The sequence below is a fragment of the Homo sapiens genome, chromosome 10, assembly GCF_000001405.40.
Source record: "Homo sapiens chromosome 10, GRCh38.p14 Primary Assembly".
Classification (NCBI taxonomy): domain Eukaryota; kingdom Metazoa; phylum Chordata; class Mammalia; order Primates; family Hominidae; genus Homo; species Homo sapiens.
The window spans coordinates 126,021,130-126,040,285 of record NC_000010.11 but is presented as its reverse complement, the minus strand read 5'-3'; the positions used below and the strand labels follow the sequence as shown (position 1 = coordinate 126,040,285).

General features: G+C 39.6%; 1 protein-coding gene across 4 annotated transcripts in view; it reads left to right on the top strand.

Moving 5' to 3' along the window:
* Positions 1 to 19,156, top strand: part of ADAM12 (ADAM metallopeptidase domain 12) — a 376,087-nt gene that overhangs the window by 348,192 nt on the left and 8,739 nt on the right. For all 4 annotated transcript variants that reach the window (NM_001288973.2, NM_003474.6, XM_017016706.2 and 1 more), the window contains 3 exons: positions 857 to 992; positions 1,937 to 2,045; positions 3,961 to 4,140. In NM_001288973.2, the coding sequence (NP_001275902.1) occupies positions 857 to 992; positions 1,937 to 2,045; positions 3,961 to 4,140 (425 nt within the window). The remainder of the gene's footprint in view (positions 1 to 856; positions 993 to 1,936; positions 2,046 to 3,960; positions 4,141 to 19,156) is intronic.

Below are 19,156 nucleotides of genomic sequence, written 5' to 3'. Positions count from 1 at the left end.
AAGATCCCTGTCCTCTAAAAATTCACTGTCCAGTTGAAATCACAGGTAGACCTCCTCTAAGTCTGAGCATTTAGAGTCCTTCCCAGACAGCCGCTGACCATAGCTACTGTAAGAAACCAACCTGATGGTTTGATTTTTTTCCTTCCTTTCCCTACCCTTGAGGAGGCTCTTAACTGTATTAAACAAAATGGCAGCAGGTCATAGAAAAGAAGATGTTTTCATAGAGAAAATAGCTTCCTCCCAGGAAAAGGGTTTCCCCCACAAAGGCTGTGTTTTTAAGTCCCCAACATAACAAAGCAAAACCCATGGGTGTTTCATTTAAATGAGTTTTCTTTCTCTTTTTTCACTATCTACTTTGAGATGTCCAGCAAGAAAGCAATTCATTTTTTAAAAACACGAAAAGAGATAAAGCAGAACCCAACTACAGAATGAGTAAAGAAAAGCACTTTGGAATGGCAAATCTGTGCTGGGGACTGGAAACATTTGAGCCTGGGGATGGCTGTGATTCCAGTGAGGCTTCAGTGATGGCTCCCTGCTACCTTCTGTGGCTACCATGGTCCACTGTGCCGTTGTCACGCCTCAGGGAACCTGCGTGGTCCAGACCATCACCCCACCTACCCGACTATATATTCCTGTTTAGCAAGTTCTAGAGTTGTCAGAAATGAATGATGGTAACATAGATTGAACCTCAAACATGGCATCTGAAGTAAGACAGTTTATTAGTACATCACTCACGGGTGTACTCTCTTCATTTCTGTTGCTTCAGAGTTCACTTTGCCATAAACGTCACAACTTGATACCTCCCATATTTCATTGTAACTGCCTCCTTCTGTGAGCCCCATGTGTTTTGTTTCAGATAACCAAGGTTTAACCATAGGAATTCTGGTGACCATCCTGTGTCTTCTTGCTGCCGGATTTGTGGTTTATCTCAAAAGGAAGACCTTGATACGACTGCTGTTTACAAATAAGAAGACCACCATTGAAAAACTAAGGTACCCTGGGTTTAGCTTGTCATCTGTTCTAGAAATGGTGGCTCAGAGGCTGGGTGCGGTGGCTCAAGCCTGTAATCCCAGCACTTTGGGAGGCTGAGGCGGGCGGATCACGAGGTCAGGAGATCGAGACCACGGTGAAACCCCGTCTCTACTAAAAATACAAAATATCAGCCGGGCGCGGTGGTGGGTGCCTGTAGTCCCATCTACTCGGGAGGCTGAGGCATGAGAATGGCGTGAACCCGGGAGGCGGAGCTTGCAGTGAGTTGCGATCACTCCACTGCACTCCAGCCTGGGCGAGAGAGCAAGACTCCATCTCAAAAAAAAAAAAAAAAAAAAAAAAAGAAATGGTGTCTCAGAAAATGTACAGCAAACTGCTTCTCACTTCATTTTTTTAGCAAAGGTCAGATTTTCTGGATCATAAACCTGGGACTTGGTTCTTTTTTGGGGGGTTTCTTGTTTTAAATTTCTGCCAGATCAGCTGCCTCCTTTACTTCCCTTCAAACAACAATGTGCTGCTTATTACATAAGCTAGCAGGGTGTCAGGAAATTCCACTGATGTGTTTTCTCCCACCCTTATATTAGTAATTTTTATACAACATGGAGACATTGAAATATTTTCATCAGATGGGGTAGCTTTTGATCCAAATATATTCAAAGACATTATCGCTGAAATGCCAGCTTCATACAAATCATCTTCCAGGTGTCACTACACTGCATTTCTATGGAGCGTGAGAACTAATTTGACAAAATAGAGGTTTTGAGGGAAAAACCAGTATTTATTTTTTAATCTCCTAAGAGTGTTATTAGGTAATTTTTCCTTTGCATGTTTAGCACACTGAGTTAAGTAAACTGTCTTTTGAGTGCCACTATGAGCAAAGTGTAAAAAGTCAAGTCAGTGAGAAGGGGAAACACGCTTGGTCAGCAGGTATGGGATTCTGTTGCAGGTGTGTGCGCCCTTCCCGGCCACCCCGTGGCTTCCAACCCTGTCAGGCTCACCTCGGCCACCTTGGAAAAGGCCTGATGAGGAAGCCGCCAGATTCCTACCCACCGAAGGTGAGTCTTGAGTAGATGTGAGTGCTCAGGGCACACATGCAGACATGAGGTTTTCAATACGAGACTGAATAAGAATGGGATCCTAGAGGCGCTGCCTGTGAAATGCTGAGTCAGCCTCACTAGGTCAGCAGGCTCTGAGGGAGGGTCTCTGTGATCTGGGGCCAGAGGGAGGCCCCACGGTGCCCCCATGGAAGCCCACCTAGATCCTGTTGGCGCACTCAGTGCCCCCTGCATGATATGGTGCAGCATAGTGTGAGCTGTGATCCCTTCAGTCACCCAGACCAGCCACATTTCTGGGGCCCCACTGGGTCTGCAGCCCGAGCTGGCTCCTGACACCAGCCCCCAATGCCAGCCCCACCATGGTTTCCAAATGCCACCACCTGGCTTTAGGTGAGCTGCTTTAGCCCACTGTTACTCTTAAAATATTTTTCAAAAGTTACATGGAGCTCTCAGAATTGACCATTTTGCTCCAGCCCTGAGCTGAGGAAGCCCTGTCCACCCTGTGGTTTCAGAGAACTGGATCCTTAACCCAGAGTACCTCACGGCTCCCTGCTGTCTCTTAACCCTCTTGCTACCCTGGTGAATTACAGCTAGAGTTCATTCTAATAGTTCTTCCCCACCGAGTTTTTCTGATGTACCCACAAGAATTCTTGAATATTGAACTTAGTCAACAAGAGTCCAAATTATAACAGTGAACAAGATTGGTGTCAAAAAAAATAAGTGATTGAAAAATCATTGCTGCATATGCAGTAGGCAATAAACTGTTTTAACTCCCTTGATCCAAAAAACGCAAAGGGTGGGGCTCCAAGGAGGAGGCTGCCATTCCCAATAAGCTTTACCCCTGCTCGTCCCCAAAGGTGGAACCATAAGCGAGAACGGCTTTGTGTGGTAGCCAAAAGCACATCTTCATTTTCGTAAAAAAGAAAAATGCAGCTCTATTAAAAAAAAAAAAAAAGCACAGCCTTATTTTTGAGAGCCCCAAACTAGAAACAATCCAAATATCCATCAACCAGTAAAAGGATAAACAATGGTATATTTGCACAATGGAATGAACCATTGATGTATACAACATTGAGGATGAATCTCTAGATAATTATTCTGAGTAAAAGAAGAAAAGCCAGAGTATATACTCTGTGATCCCACTTATATACAATTCTGACAAATGCAAACTGATAGTGACAGAAAGCAGACTGATGATTGGAGGGAGAGGGAAGGGAGAAGCATGACAAGAAAACTCTTTGGGGTGATGGATGCATTCATTTGTCCACTTGTTTGTTGTGAGGGTTTCATGGGTGTAAACACGTCAAAAAATGACCAAGTTGTATACTTTATGTCAACTATACCTCAATTAAGCTGTTTTTAGAAAGAGAGGAAGGAAGGGGTAGAAGCCTGAGGTATAAGGGTCCCTGCAGCACCTGTTCTAAGAACAAGGGTTACCATATGGGAGAACGTCTCCAACTCCAAGCCCCAACCTCAGCCCTGGCTTCCTGAAGCCGCAACTCTCCTTTCCCCAGTGGTTTTCTCAGTTCTCATTGAGCCTTGAACACATTAAGCTGTATCTTATTTTCACATCTCTTTTGTAACTTCCCTAAGATCTCGGTCCGTGTCTTTCTTTATACTTGGTACTTTTTCAAGTGCTTTGCACCTATTTGTTAAACAGTTTTTTAAAATCTAAACAAAAATCGATCCTTCTATTCCAGATTTGGTGGGGTGGAGGCAGGTGATGCTTCTGTTTGAATTTTGAAGTTTAAATAAATACAAAAATAATTCCCCTCTTGTGTACATCCTTGATTTCTTTCCTTTACCCCACCTTGGCCTTCAGCTATAACAGATGAGTTAGCACTGCTTTTTCCTTAAGGAGTTACTGATATTTTTGAAACCCGCTATAGCATGGCTTTTTACTTTGACTGTACAGGACAATCCCAGGAGATTGCTGCAGTGTCAGAATGTTGACATCAGCAGACCCCTCAACGGCCTGAATGTCCCTCAGCCCCAGTCAACTCAGCGAGTGCTTCCTCCCCTCCACCGGGCTCCACGTGCACCTAGCGTCCCTGCCAGACCCCTGCCAGCCAAGCCTGCACTTAGGCAGGCCCAGGTATGCTTTCAGTACTAATATGATAGGATGTAGTTCAAATCCAGATTCTGCTACTTGTTAATGTGTGAGCTTAGATAAGTTGCTTAACTTCTCGGTGCCTCTGTAAAATGGAGATAATTCAGCTACTCAGATGGTTAAATGAGATAATCCACATAAAGCAGTTAGTTTGGTGCCTGGAGTATAATAATAAGAGTGTCATATATTTTAATTTACTAGTTATAATTTTTTAAGTATTTGAATAGTTAGACCACTCATGCAACTAAACGATGACACTATTGAGAATAGCAGAGGGACTAGTAATAATTAGGCCTGTACAGTAAAATAGAGACAGGCAATCTAAGACAGATGGTCACCCTAAGAAGCATCAGTTATACTCTCTCATCATTTTATTTCAAAATTATTTACAAGAACTATACCACCTATATACAGAGTGTCTCCGTACCAAACTTAGCACTGTATTGTTTATGTATATCATCTCATTTTTATGCTGTTTTTGGAAGTAACCATTTCTGTTTGCTGCAATAACGAATGATATTTCACAATAGAAAACTTGAAGGGAGGAGAAAACAAGCAAATAAGTAGGAGATAATCACTGGTAATTTTTCACTGCTATTAATATTTTTTGTTTATAATTGTGTATTTTAACATAATTTATTTGTACACAGTTTTATATGCTGCTTTGTTTTGCCTTAAAAATTAGTCCCATTTACAATGGCATTAAAAATCCTATTTAATAATAACACTATACTTGAATATAAATGTTTAAGTACTTGCAAATTATTGGGCATGTATTGATGTATCATTTTTTGCTGTTAGAAAGTTCTAGAGAGGTAAATCTTGGGACCTCTTTATTCCCCTAGGAGAGATTCTTAAAAGTAAAATATTGGGTTGAAAGATTGTATGACCATTTTAAGCCTCATAATATAAAAATATTTTTTCAGAACTCATATACATTTGCGTTCCCACATTGTTATTGTCTTTCTCACCATGACTTTGCTAACACTAAATTTTAACTTTTACCAGTTTGATAAATACAACAAAATATCTCAATTTGTTGCTGTCTAGTAGTTCTGTCAGTTACCAAGAGGAGATGTTGGACTTTTCCACTATAATTGTGTCTCCTTTGAGTTCATCAGTTTTTGCTTCATGTATTTTGAAGCTCTGTTGTTTGCGATACACACAATTAGGATTGTTGTGTCATCTTAGTAAAGTGACCCTTTTATCATTATGTCATGTCTCTGTTTAGCTCTGGTAATCTTTGTTCTAAAATCTACTTTATCTGATATTATTATATCCACTCCAGTTTTATTTTGATTAGTATTAGTGTTGTCTTTTTGCAATCATGAATGATATTTCACAATAGGAAACATCATTCATGATTGCAGCAAACAGAAATGGTTACTTCTAAAAACAGGATAAAAAGCAAAGTATGAATTTTTCCATCCTTTTAACATACCTATGGAATTACATTTGAAAAGCGTTTCTTGTAGACAGCATATAGATTTTTTCATCCATTTAGCCAGTCACTATATTTTAATAGGTGTGTTTAGAACATTCATATTTAATGCAATTGTTGATATGTTTGGATTTAAGTCTACCATGTTAATATTATTCTGTTTGTTCTCTCTGGTTTTTGTTTCATTGTGCTTTTTCTGTGTTCCTGTAGATTAGTATTCCATATTGATTTATCTGCATTTATGTTTTTGAGTATATATCTTTGTATTTTTTTTGTATGATTACACTAGGGCAGTTTCTCAACCTCAGCATTTTGACATATTGTACTGAATACTCTGTTATGTGGGGTTTTCCTATGCATTGTAGAATGTTTAGCAGCATCCATGGCCTCTATCAACTAGATGGAAGTAACATGTGTAATTATGTTTCCAAACATTGCCAAAATGTCCTCTGAAAGGCATAACCTCCCTTGATTGAAAACCACTGCTCTAAAGATTACAGTATGTATGTACTTACTTTATCACAGTCTACTAGTCAATATTTCTTCACTTTAAGTAGAATACAGAAACTATCACCTTTTAGGTCGCTTTTCCTCTTCCTTTTATAATACAGATGTCTTAAATACTACCTTTATGTGTACTAAGAGTCACTGCAGATGTTGTAATTTTGCTTTCAGCCAAACATAATCTTTAAAACTTAACTTTGCTTATTATTTTCTGTCTGAAAAACTTTCTTTAGCCATTTTTTAAAGCAAATCTGTAGGTGACAAATTCTCTTCATTTTCCTTTATCTGAGAATGTATTTATTCCTAGAGGATAGTTTTGCTGGATATAGAATTCTGCGTTGACTGTTTTCTCCATTCAGTACTTTAAAAATGTTGTTCCCCTTCCTTCTGGACTCCATGGTGATGAGAAATCCACTAAAAGTTCTACCCATAGTCTCTGTTCCAGGGAAGGGATGTGGCATGTTATTGCAAGAAGTGATAGAAAGTAGAGATCTGCCAGTCTCTAGGCTATGATGCCTGGTGAGGAGCAGGAGGGAGGCATGGCTTTTTTCAAGTGTTGAGCTGGAGTAAGGTCAGGTATGGTCAAAACACTTCTGTGTTTCTGGACTGCTCTTTCTCTAGTCTTTTGGCTCAAGATAGCAGGCTTTTCCAGTTGTGGGCCTATCCAGAGCCCAGGCCAAGATATATAAAAGAACACACACACACAAACACACCACTGGGTAGTTCCTTGAGTTCTGAGATCCCTAGCCAGCATACTTTATGTCCAGACATTTTTGTTGCACTTAGCAGGAGAAATAGGGTGAAATGTACTTATTCCACCTTGTCCAGACCTCATTTCTCCTTGTATTTTTTTGATTACTGGTACACTTGAACTACTTTTTATGTATCCATTAGCCAATGGTATGCTGGCAAACTGGCCCTTTTAAAAAAAAATTCTGATTTACAGCTGATTTCTCTGGTATAAAACTTCCCATTGTGGCCAGTTTCAAGCTACTAGTGTGACATTACTGAATGAGGAGTAGGGAACTGGCAGTTATGAGCCAGTACCAGCCAGCTCAAGCATACCACTGCTGTTCACTGTATTTGTTCTGTGACTTGTCTTTTCCTATCCTTTGCCTATTTATTTCTGTTTGAGAGGTAGAGGTTTTCTTCTTGGTTTATAAGTTTCTTTTAAAAATATTTTAATGTAATTTTAGTTATGATTTTTTGGCATAAGAATAATTCTGGTTTTGAATATTGAATTTTTCTTTTGTGAATTTTCCCATTCCTTTCATGCTTGCAAAGTCCACTCCCATTTCATTATTAGTGAAAGTCCATATATAATTTCTTCTGTTTATTGACAGTTCTTTTACATTTGTTTTTCTAATTTGTTTTAGATTTGCAGTCATGGAAGGTGGTGAGCATGCCCTAAACTTTTCTGGTCCGTGGACTTGAGAATCTGACAAAAGCTATGAACTCATAAAATGCACCAATATTAGCATTTTGTGTGCACATTTCAGGTAGCCAAAGAGCAGAGAAGCTCCTTTCCCATGTACCCCTCATCCTGAACTTTTTTATTTATTTTAAGCAACTCACCTGTGTACCATGTCAAACTGGGGCTAACAGACCATGTTATCAGAGGAAGGTATTCCTACTGCTGGTGTTTTTTTCTCCACCAGCAGGGACTCTTGCAAGATTTCCTTTAAAGCAGGCCCGAAAAAGTCCTTCATTCTGTTTTATGAAACTAAGGAAATGTTACCCTTTAAACATCAGTCACTGAAAAATCCACATTTCTCACTCCAGGCTGGTGTCTGTCTGGAACTTTTCTAAGACATATGATATAGATTAAGTGGGTGATTTCTCTCCCATCACACATAGGGAACGGAAATTAATTCCATGCAGGTGTGGAGAATATTTGGAGGTGACTCTTGTTTGGCAGCACAAATTGAATCCACTGACATTTTGTACTTTGGGGTTCCTCATGCCCTGCCCAGGACAACGTGACACACAGCTAATCCTGCTTCATTTGTCCCAATGTACTAAGCATTCCAGAAGAAAACACTACCACAAACACCATCTTGGTCCACCTCACATTTAAACTGTAAGCTAGGTCTTTATAGAAACCATTTCATTTTCTATAAATGTTCTGTTTGACTTATAAATGAAGGAGAGCTGAATGAATGTACCCTCTTGTCCACAAACATACCTTTGCAATGTACCACTTCCTTCATGGTAAAAGGACCCTTGGAATTCAAGCTTCTCATCCTAACTCCCCAGTCTTGATCAAGGAAACAAACTTTTTTCATCCCATCAGCTATATTAGAGGAAAAATAATTCAGTGTATTCATCTAGCTGTTCACTGCATCTTAAAGAAGGCTCTATGCATTTTCTGCAGAGGTGGAGATCTTCAGTTCAGTGATGCTGTCAAAACACAACATTTCTCCTAATCAACAACTTTTATCTGTCTGTATTATATGCAACATATAATATTTTATAACACAAGACTCACCAGTCTGGCACAGTCTCATCTAAGAAAAGGCTACTTTGTTTAAGTTGCCATGGGAAGACGGTGGCAGCTATTACAAGGAAGTCCAAATTCCTCTTCCTCCTCAAACCTTTATAAAAGGTGATGAATGATGAGCTGGGGCTGTTACTGGTAAACAGCAGCTACTCCTTCAAATGCCTGGTCAGGATGCAGATGTGAGCAAAGCCAATTAATTTAAGCCACGATTGTAGATCAGTCAGGTGCTGGCCAGTTCAGAGGTTAAGTCCAAACTTTCAAACTGTTCAACAAAATGAATTTGGCTCCGAATGGATAAGGGCATGTGCCCTTCTGGACCTGTGTGGGTGTCTGATATTGAAACCTGCACTTGCAGAGCCTAGAAATCTGGGGATTAGGTCCTTGCTCATCAGAAATGCCAATTTGTAATGAGAAAAAGAAGACCCATTTGTTAGTATGTTCTCCTGAAGAAGATGAAATACAAGAAAACTGAGTTTTATGAGAGCTTCTGTTGCTACACACAAAGCACAGGCTAATAACTGGTAAAGGTGCTGGTGAGTGTCCTTCTGTGCCCTTTCCCTGCATTCCAGATCTCACCCTCCCCTAAGACCTCTCCACAGTCCTCCCTCCAGGACCTCTGATCACCTGCTGCCGTAGCCTGGAGTTACCAGTATGCCAGCTCTGCCCTACTTCTGAAGGCATAGACTGATCCCAGGCACAGCTAAGTCCAGCCCCTCGAACATAATAGATGTGTAGGAAATATGCTGAATTGATGTGGACTTAAAATAGTAAAAAATCAGTTGTCACAGTGTCATTCTCCATGGCGCCATCACACTCAGTTACGGATTAATGACAATGAGTCCATTCCCCCTGTAAATCTAAAACACAGCTACCAAGGTCTTGGACTCTCCCTGCCACCTACCCAATACTTCCAGAAACTTTAGCTGAACTTTCTTTGGCATCATATACTAATTATTCATCAGACACAAACATCAAATGTCTTTAAGGGTATCAGTTATCCACGGAAGCATGATCTCTCCCTGAAGGGAACTTCTCAGAACATGTTTTCAAGGGAAGTTGTTCACGTGATTACAGGGTTCAAAGGGGTATTTGTTTCCCACTTATTTGTTACTATAAACATGAAAATTACATAAAAAGCAGATGCCTGATATTTTAGCCTTTACATTTGCTAATAGGTAATATAGGCCTATAATTAAAAATCTCAACAGTATAAAGGGTCATTCGGAAAACAGTCTCCTTCACACCTGTCACCAGTCTCCCTTCCCAGAAGCAATCGTCACTGTTACTAGGCTTTTATAAAACGCAATTTGGGATACAATGAAAAGTCTCAGCTCTACCCCCCACCCACCTCTCTGCTAGGAGAGATTATGGAAATTTTCAAACACTCAAAATTGGAGAGAAGAGTACAGTGAAACCCTATCTACCCATCACTCAACTTCAGCAACCGTCAACTTGCTGTCACTCATCTTACATCCTTGTTTTGAATTCAAATGGCAACACATTATGTACTTTCTTCTACTTTGGTTATTCCTTATTAGTTTTATACATCTGCTTCATTCTTTTCACTGGCTACATCATTATTTGTGAAGCTATACCATGACTTCTTTAACCTGTCCCTTCCAGATTCCCAGATGGGTTGTTTTCAATCATTTGCTACGTCACACAGGCATAATCTTGCCCAAGATGGATAAATTCCTGAAAGCACAATTGCTGTGCAAAAGTCATATGCATTTAGAAATTTGATAGACTGAGTGAAGCTGCCTTTAAAGGAGCTGTTTCAGCTATTCTATTATCCAGCTCCTCACCAACACAGTGTGTTCGGAGGTTTTTCATCTCTTTGCCAATCGATAGGTTAAAAACAGTGGTCTCCATGTTTTTCTTCATAGGAAATACTTCATAGTGAGATGAAATACCTTTTCACAGGTTTAAGATTTTCTTTTTCATGAACTGCCTTTTCATCTTTGCCATTTTTAAAATTTAAGATCGGGGTACATGTGCAGGATGTGCAGGTTTGTTACATCGGTAAACATGTGCCACAGTGGTTTGCAGCACAGATCTCATCACCCAGGTATTAAGCTGGGCATCCATTAGCTATTCGTCCTGATGCTTTCCTCCTCCCCCTGCCCCATTGTGTCCATGTGTTCTCATCATTCAGCTCCCACTTAATAAGTGAAAACATGGGGTATTTGGTTTTCTGTTCCTGCATTAGTTTGCTGAGGATAATGGCCTCCAGCTCCATCCATGTCTCTGCAAAAGACATGATCTCATTCCTTTTTATGGCTGCATAGTATTCCATGGTGTATATTTACCACATTTTCTTACCCAGTATATCACTGATGGGCACTTAGGTTGATTCCATGTCTTTGCTATTGTGAATAGTGCTGCAGTGAACATATGCATGCGTGTATAATAGAATGATTTCTATTCCTTTGGGTATATACCCAATAATGGGATTCCTGGGTCAAATGGCATCTCTGCTGCTAGGTCTTTGAGGAATCATCACACTGTCTTCCACAATGGTTGAACTAATTTACACTCCCACCAACAGTGTAAAAGCATTCCTTTTGCTCTGCAACCTTTCTAGCATCTGTTAACTTTTTAATAATTGCCATTCTGACTGGCATGAGATGGTAGCTCATTGTGGTTTTGATTTGCATTTCTCTAATGATCAGTGATGTTGAGCTTTTTTTCATGTTTGTTGGCTCCATGAATGTCTTCTTTTGAGAAGTGTCTGTTCATGTCTTTTGCCCACTTTTTACTGTTTTCTTGTAATTTTAAATTCCTTATAGATGCTAGCTATTAGACCTTTGTCAGATGGATAGATTGAAAAACTTTCTCCCATTCTGTAGGTTGTTCATTCTGTGTTTCTTTTGCTGCAGACACTCTTTAATTAGATCCCGTTTGTCAATTTTTGCTCTTGATGTTGTCATGAAATCTTTTCGCATGCCTATGTCCTCGATGGTGTTGCCTAGATTTTCTCCTAAGGTTTTTATAGTTTTGGGTTTTATATGTAAGTCTTTAATCGATCCTGAGTTTATTTTTGTATATGGTGTAAGGAAGGGGTCCAGCTTCAATTTTCTGCATATGGCTATCCAGTTCTTCCAGACTATTTATTAAATAGGGAATCCTTTCCCCATTGCTTTTTCTCAGGTTTGTTGAAGATCAGATGGTTGTAGGCGTGCAGTCTTATTCCTGGGTTCTCTATTTTGTTCCATTGGTCTATGTGTCTGTATCAGTACCATGCCATTTTGGTTACTATAGCTTTGTAGTATAGTTTGAAGTCAGGTAGCGTGATGCCTCCAGCTTTGTTCTTTTTGCTTAGGATTGTCTTGGCTATTTGGGCTCTTTTGGGGTTCCATATGAATTTTTAGTTTTTTCTAATTTGGTGAAGAATGTCAATAGTAGTTTGATGGGGATAGCATTGATTCTATTTGGGCAGTATGGCCATTTTCATATTGCTTCTTTCTATCCATAAGCATGGAATGCTTTTCCATTTGTTTATGTCCTCTGATTTCTTTGAGCAGTGGTGTAGTTCTCCTTGAAGAGGTCCTTCATGTCCCTTGTAGCTGCATTCCTAGGTATTTTATTATTTTTGTGGCAATTCTGAATGGGAGTTCATGATTTGGCTGTTGGCTTGCCTGTTGGTGTATAGGAATGCTAGCAATTTTTGCACATTGATTTTATATACTGAGACTTTGTTGAAATTGCTCAAGAAGCTTTTGGGCTAAGACAATGGGGTTTTCAAGATATAGGATCACGTCATCTGCAAACAAAGTTAGTTTGACTTCCTCTCTTCCTATTTGAATACACTTCCTTTCTCTTGCCTGATTGCCCTTCCCAGAACTTCCAATACTATGTTGACTAGGAGTGGTGAGAGAGGGCATCTTGTGCTGGTTTTCAAGGGGAAAGCTTCCAGCTTTTACTCATTCAGGATATTAGCTGTGGGTTTGTCATAGATGGCTATTATTTTGAGGTATGTTCCTTTAATACCTAGTTTATTGGGAGTTTTTTATATTATGGGGTGAATTTTATTGAAGACTTTTTCTGCATCTATTGAGATAATCATATGGTTTTTGTCTCTAGTTCTGTTTATGTGATGAATCACATTTATTGATTTGCATATCCCGAACCAACCTTGCATCTTGGGACGAAGCCTACTTGATTGTGGTGGATAAGCTTTTTGATGTGCTGCCAGATTCTGTTTGCCTGTATTTTGTTGAGGATTTTTGCATCAATGTTCATCAAGGATATTGGCCTGAGGTTTTTTTTTATCTCTCCCAGGTGTTGGTACCAGGATGCTGTTGGCCTCACAGAATGAGTTAGAGAGGAGTCTCTTCTTTCCAATTTTTTTGGAATAGTTTCAGTAGAAATGGTACCAGCTCTATTTTCTACCTCTTGTAGAGTTCAGCTGTGAATCTGCCTGGTCCTGGGTTTTGTTTGGTTGGTAGGCTATTTACTACTGCCTCAATTTCAGGACTCATTATTGGCCTATTCAGGGATTCAATTTCTTCCTGGTTCAGTCTCAGAGACTGTATGTGCTCTAGATTTTCTAGTTTATGTGCATAGAGGTGTTTATAGTATTCTCTGATAGTTGTATTTCTGTGGGATCAATGGTGATATCCCCCTTATCATTTCTGATTGTGTCTATTTGATTCTTTATAGTCTAGCTAGTGATCTATTTTAGTAATTTTTTCAAAAAAACTAGCTCCTGGATTCACTGATTTGTTGAAGAGTTTTTCATGTCTATCTCCTTCAGTTCCACTCTGATCTTGGTTATTTCTTGTCTTTTGCTAGCTTTGGGGTTTGCTCTTGTTTCTCTAGTTCTTTTAGCTGTGATGTTAGGTTGTTAACTTTGTTAACTTTATCTTTCTAGCTTTTTGATGTGGGCATTTAGTGTTATACCTTTCCCTCTTCTGCTTTAGCTGCTTCTCAGAGATTCTGGTATGTTGGCTCTTTGTTCTCATTAGTTTCAAAGAACTTTTTGATTTCTGCCTTAATTTCATTATTTACCCAAGAGTCATTCAGGAGCAGGTTGTTCAGGTTCCATGGAGTTGTGTGGTTTTGAGTGAATTTCTTAATCTTAAGCTTTAATTTGATTACGCTGTGGTTTGACAGACTGTTATGATTTCAGTTCTTTTGCATTAGCTGAGGAGTGTTTTACTTCTGATTACGTGATCAATTTTAGAGTAAGTGCTGTGTAGTAATAAGAATGTAGATTGTTGGTTTTGGGTGGACAGTTCTGTAGTTGTATAACAGATCCACTTGCTCCAGAGCTGAGTTCAAGTCCTGAATGTCTTTGTTGATTTTCTAATATTGTCAGGTGGGTGTTAAAGTCTGCAGGTCTCTAAGAATTTGCTCTCTGAATCTGGGTGGTATAAGATGCACACATATTTAGGATAGTTAGCTCTTCTTATTGAACTCTTTACCATTATGCAATGCCCTTTTCTTTTTTTGATCTTTGTTGGTTTAAAGTCTGTTTTGTCAGAAACTAGGATTGCAACCCCTACTTTTTTCTGTTTTCCATTTGCCTGGTAAATTTTCCTCCATCCCTTTGTTTTGAGCCTGTGTGTGTCTTTGCACATGAGTTTCTTGAAGACAGCACACCAATGGGTCTTTCTTCATTATCTAGATGATATTGGGCCAGATATGAAATTCTGGGTTGGAAAATCTTTAAAGAATGTTGAATATTGGTCCCCAAGCTCTTCTAGCTTATTGGGTTTCCACTGGGAGGTCTGCTGTTAGTCTGATAGGCTTTCCTTTGTAGGGGACCTGGTTTTTCTCTCTGGCTGCCCTTAACATTTTTTCTTTCATTTTGACCTTGGAAAATCTGATGATTATGTGTCTTGGGGTTGATCTTCTCATGGAGTATCTTACCTTCTCTGGATTTCCTGAATTTGAATGTTGGCCTGTCTTGCCAGGTAGGGGAAGTTATCCTGGATTATATCCTGAAGTATGTTTTCCATCTTTGTGGGCTTATCTACCTTTGATCTTCGAGGTTGCTGACACCTTTGGATGAGATTTTTGTGGGTCATTTTCTGTTTAACAGTCTGGCCACTCTTCCGTAAGGCTGCTGCAATTTGCTGGGGGGGCTCTGTTCTGCCCGTCTCTTTTGGGTACCCCAATCACTTGTAGATTTGGTCTCTCTACATAATCCGGTATTTCTCAAGACCTTCTGTTCATTCCTTTTCATTCTTTTTTCTCTATTCTTGTCTGCCCATCTTATTTCAGGATAGTCTTCAAGCTCCGAGATTTTTTCCTCTGCTTCATCTATTCTGCTGTTAATACTTGTGATTGTGAAGTTCGTATAGTGTGTTTTTTAGCTCTAACAGGCCAGTTATGTTCCTCTCTAAACTATTTTGGCTGTCAGCTCCTGTATTGTTTTATCATGATTCCTAGCTTCTTTGAATTGGGTTACCACATGCTCCTTCAGCTCAGCAAAGTTCTTTATTACCCACCTTCTCAAGCCTACTTCTGTCATGTCAGCCATCTCAGCCCCAGCCCAGTTCTTTGCACTTGCTGGAGAGGTGTTGCCATGATTTGGAGAAAAAGTGGCACTCTGGCTTTTTGAGTTTTCAGTGTTTTTGTGTTGATTCTTTCTCATCTTTGTGGGCTTATCTACCTTTGATCTTTAAGGTTGCTGACCTTTGGATGGGGTTATTGTTGTTTTCTGTTTAACAGTCTGGCCACTCTTCTGTAAGGCTGCTGCAATTTGCTGGGGGTCTGCTCCAGACCCCAGTAGCCTCAGTTTTTCTTGTACCACTTCCCATGGTGAGGGTTCCCTTGGCTCCGTGTCACTCCCAGGTGGGCCATTGCCTCACCCTGCTTTTTTTTTTTGTTCTCCATGTGTCTATTTGTTTCCTGAATCAATCCCATTTAGTGTATAATCAAATTTTATTTTTTTCTAGATGACCACCTAGTAATCCTTAATACCATTTATTTTATTTGTCCTTGATTGGCCTATGTTTTATTAGATTTGTCTGGTTTCTCATTCTCCCCTACCTTCAACCAGCTCAAAGTCTTATATGATCTTCCTCTTGCTACCATTAGATCTTGGAAACATCACTTTAATGTCCCCTCTACAAATGTGAAATAATAGTACTTGCTTTTGGGACTTTGTGACAGTTACATGAAAATATTATTAAGAACTTTCCTCTAAACATTGCTTTACACCTTGCTCACTGGTTCCAATTTGTAGTGTATATTTTTTAAATAGTCTATATATTCTCTTCTGTTTTCCTCCTTAGCCCAAAGATTGAAGTTATTTTTTAAAATATTTAAAATATAGAAAAGTAAAAACTAAAATTTACTCACATTTATTCTACATAGAAATAACTAGTTTTACATCTTTCTAGATGTACATGCCTATTTAAGTTTCAGATATATATCCTTTTTCAAAAGAAGTGAAACATTAAAGTCACTACATTAGCCTCCCTCCAGATACAAGCACTGTCATAAGTTTGCTTAATGTTTTCAATATTTTTGTATAAATATGTATCCATTAATATAGTGTTTCGTGTTTTAAACTTTACGTAAGTGGTATCAAACTGTACTTACCTTCATGCAATTTGCACTCATCTATGTTGTACTTTTTTTGCTTCTAGAAGTTCTCTTTGGTTCTAATTCAACTATGCTAGCTTGTCTTGTACTTCTTTAAACATAGTAAGAAAACTTTTTCCAATAATACCCAAATCTGAAGTCTTTGGATATGTTACTGCTGAAGTTTCTATCACTTCTCACTCCTGGTTCCTTGTTTCCCTGTATGCTTTTTTTTTTTTTTCCATGAGTTCACTTTTTTAAATTATAGTTCTTCAAGGCCTAGGATGCAGGTGTGTTCTTCCATAAAGGGCTATTTTGCCTCTGCCAGGTGCCTGGAGGCAGTACCAGTTTGAGACCACTTTAAAATGGCTTGGAGCTTATTGAAATACCCAGGTGATGTGATTTCAGCTTCAAGTCCTCAAGGACAATTTGTGGTGACAGGTTTATTTTTCTCCCTCGGTCTGTCCAGCACCAGAAGAATGCTCCTTGTAGTATCCTGGGGATAGATTATAGTATGTATTTACTTCTAGAAGATTCTTAACCTGAGGTCTTGTCTGTAGAGCCCAACTTGAATGGAGAGGAGTCAGGAAGAGAATTCTCTCTCATTAAACTTGGACATTTGGTTTCTGCCCATATGTCTTGACCTTGGTTGGATTTCTCTATTCCTCACTGTGAAAGAGTATCAAAACCCACATTTAGGTTTCCCTAACTTGGCAGATGCCTCCATCTTCAGTTACTACTCCCTCTCCAAGCTGCTGCTTTCACTTAGACTTAAAACATTTGCTGTCTTGTAACTCTTGGTGGTCATCAGAGAAGGGGTAGGGCACAACAACAGAGCCTGCCATGTTACTGGAAATGGAAGACCCGCCTGTCAACTTTGGCGAGTTCCATGATACCTACATTAGGGTTTACGACATTTATATTCTGATCTATAGCCATAATTCCCACAATTGTTTTTAGCTAGAGGTAGACCGAATTTGCACAGTGAAACATATTGATGCCGCCCCAGCCCTGCATGAGCTCGTCAGGGATCTCTGGGGCATCTCTGGCATTTTCCTGTGATGAATTCCAGTCTTCCTGCAGAGATTTCTCTGGATAAGCAGGGCATGTTTACTCTCGTTTACCATGTGAAGTTGATAACAGCTGAGACTTCATGATGCTGGTCAAGGCAAAGTGGTTATATCTGGATTTAAAATTGTTTTGAAACCTCTAAAAAATCTGAAATATGTGGCTATTGCCAGAACATGAGCAGAATATAGAAGAATGGAACAGCCCTATTTAATAGCATATTAATAGCATACCTGGATTTTTCTTCAATATCTGGAAGAAGTTAAGAGGGCATAAAAATGAGGTTTGAATTCATTTCCTTGTTTAAAATGAAAATAGATTTAAAGAAATGTTTATCGTGTGTGAGCAATCTGCTTAGAGTCATTTCTCAGCTCCCTTCAGATGATGCTTGGTGATCACACTGGACTTCTCTGGGAGAGGTTCAGGTTTAGGTTTTGCAAAGGCAGAATGAAAAGCAACACCTAGAAGACAGCATGGCAATTTCATCCCTTCCTCCAGGGTCAAAATGTGCAGCTGGTGCTTCTTGCATCATGGGTTCCACACCTCCATGCCTAATGTCTAAGGAGTGAAGGCACATCTTCTTGGACTAACCCCCACTGTTCCATGGCCATTCTGTCCCAGTTAAGCCCTGGCAGGAAGCCAGCATCTTACCTAGGCAACATCTTTGCTTGCAACCTGTCTCATGCTTCCATCCAAACCATGTCCTGGCCATGGCTGGAGGAAGCAGATGGTGCCTGCGCTGATCCCCAGGTTGGAGGTCAGACCCTTCAATCAGCGTCTCAGTCATTTGGGTTTTCATCACTATGGTGACCATATAATTTATCTTCTAAAGTAGGAGACATGCCTGAGAGAGTGTGATTAATAATTAAACAGGACGATAAACATAAATTGGGAACGTCCCAGGCAAACTAGAATGAATGGCTAACCTAACTATCTCCTATGTTTCCATGATAAATCCAAATATATTGTGATACATACCTCACTTTTTCTCCAGCATTGCAATAAAAACCTGACGTTATTCTTTATTGCCAAGACAGCTTAGTCATACTTAGCAGCAAAACTAGTATTGCTAATTATTTCAATTTGATGAGTGCATACATCCATTTTTACATGACACACTAATGTCTTGCTCACAGTTTTCTGTTATCTATAGGAAGGGGAGCTTGATTTGTTACCTTAGTTAATTATCCAAAGTTTGTTGGTAGGGTTATGGTGCTTTTTGGTGGTAAATTCACTCCATTAATAATAGTTGTAATCCAGCAGCAGCTAACACTCATGGGTTATATTGCATGCCAGGCCCTGTGCTAGGAGCCTCAATATCTCATTTAACCCTCACATCCACCCGGGAGGAAGGGACTATGATCATCCCTGCTCCACCAGTGAGGATACTGTGTGTGTATGTGGAACTGGTTGAATATATAAACAATCCGTGCTCTTGGGCACATTATATGGCCTTTATTCCTAGCTAGGGAATTTTTTCTATTTAATGTTTCTTTTAATGAAAACTAATGTAGAAATATCACTTCTAAGTCTGTCCCTTGTTCAGGGGCTTTTTCCTAGCCCAATGTGTCCGTTGTTCCAACTCAGCTTATCTTCCACACACCTGTGGACACTTGTGATTTACAAACTTCTGTGGTAGCTTCCTTTGCTTTACAAAGATATGTTAAATGGTGATTATATTGTTGCATTCTTTCAGCTGAGCCCCAACTGCTAAAGAAATGTAATTTTCATATGATAGGCACTGTGAGAGAAATTCAACTCAAGTGTTTGAAATCATTGTTGAGTGTTGCTAGATATATACTGGGTCCTATGATGGTGAATTGAAGCACTTGGTTATTAGGGGTGTTCTGTCTCCCTGGAGGTTCTAGCACCATTTCCAACAGACATTCTGTGCATTCATGAGTGTTTCCGGGCTTCAAAGACAAGACATGGCACCCACATTCACCTGGGGC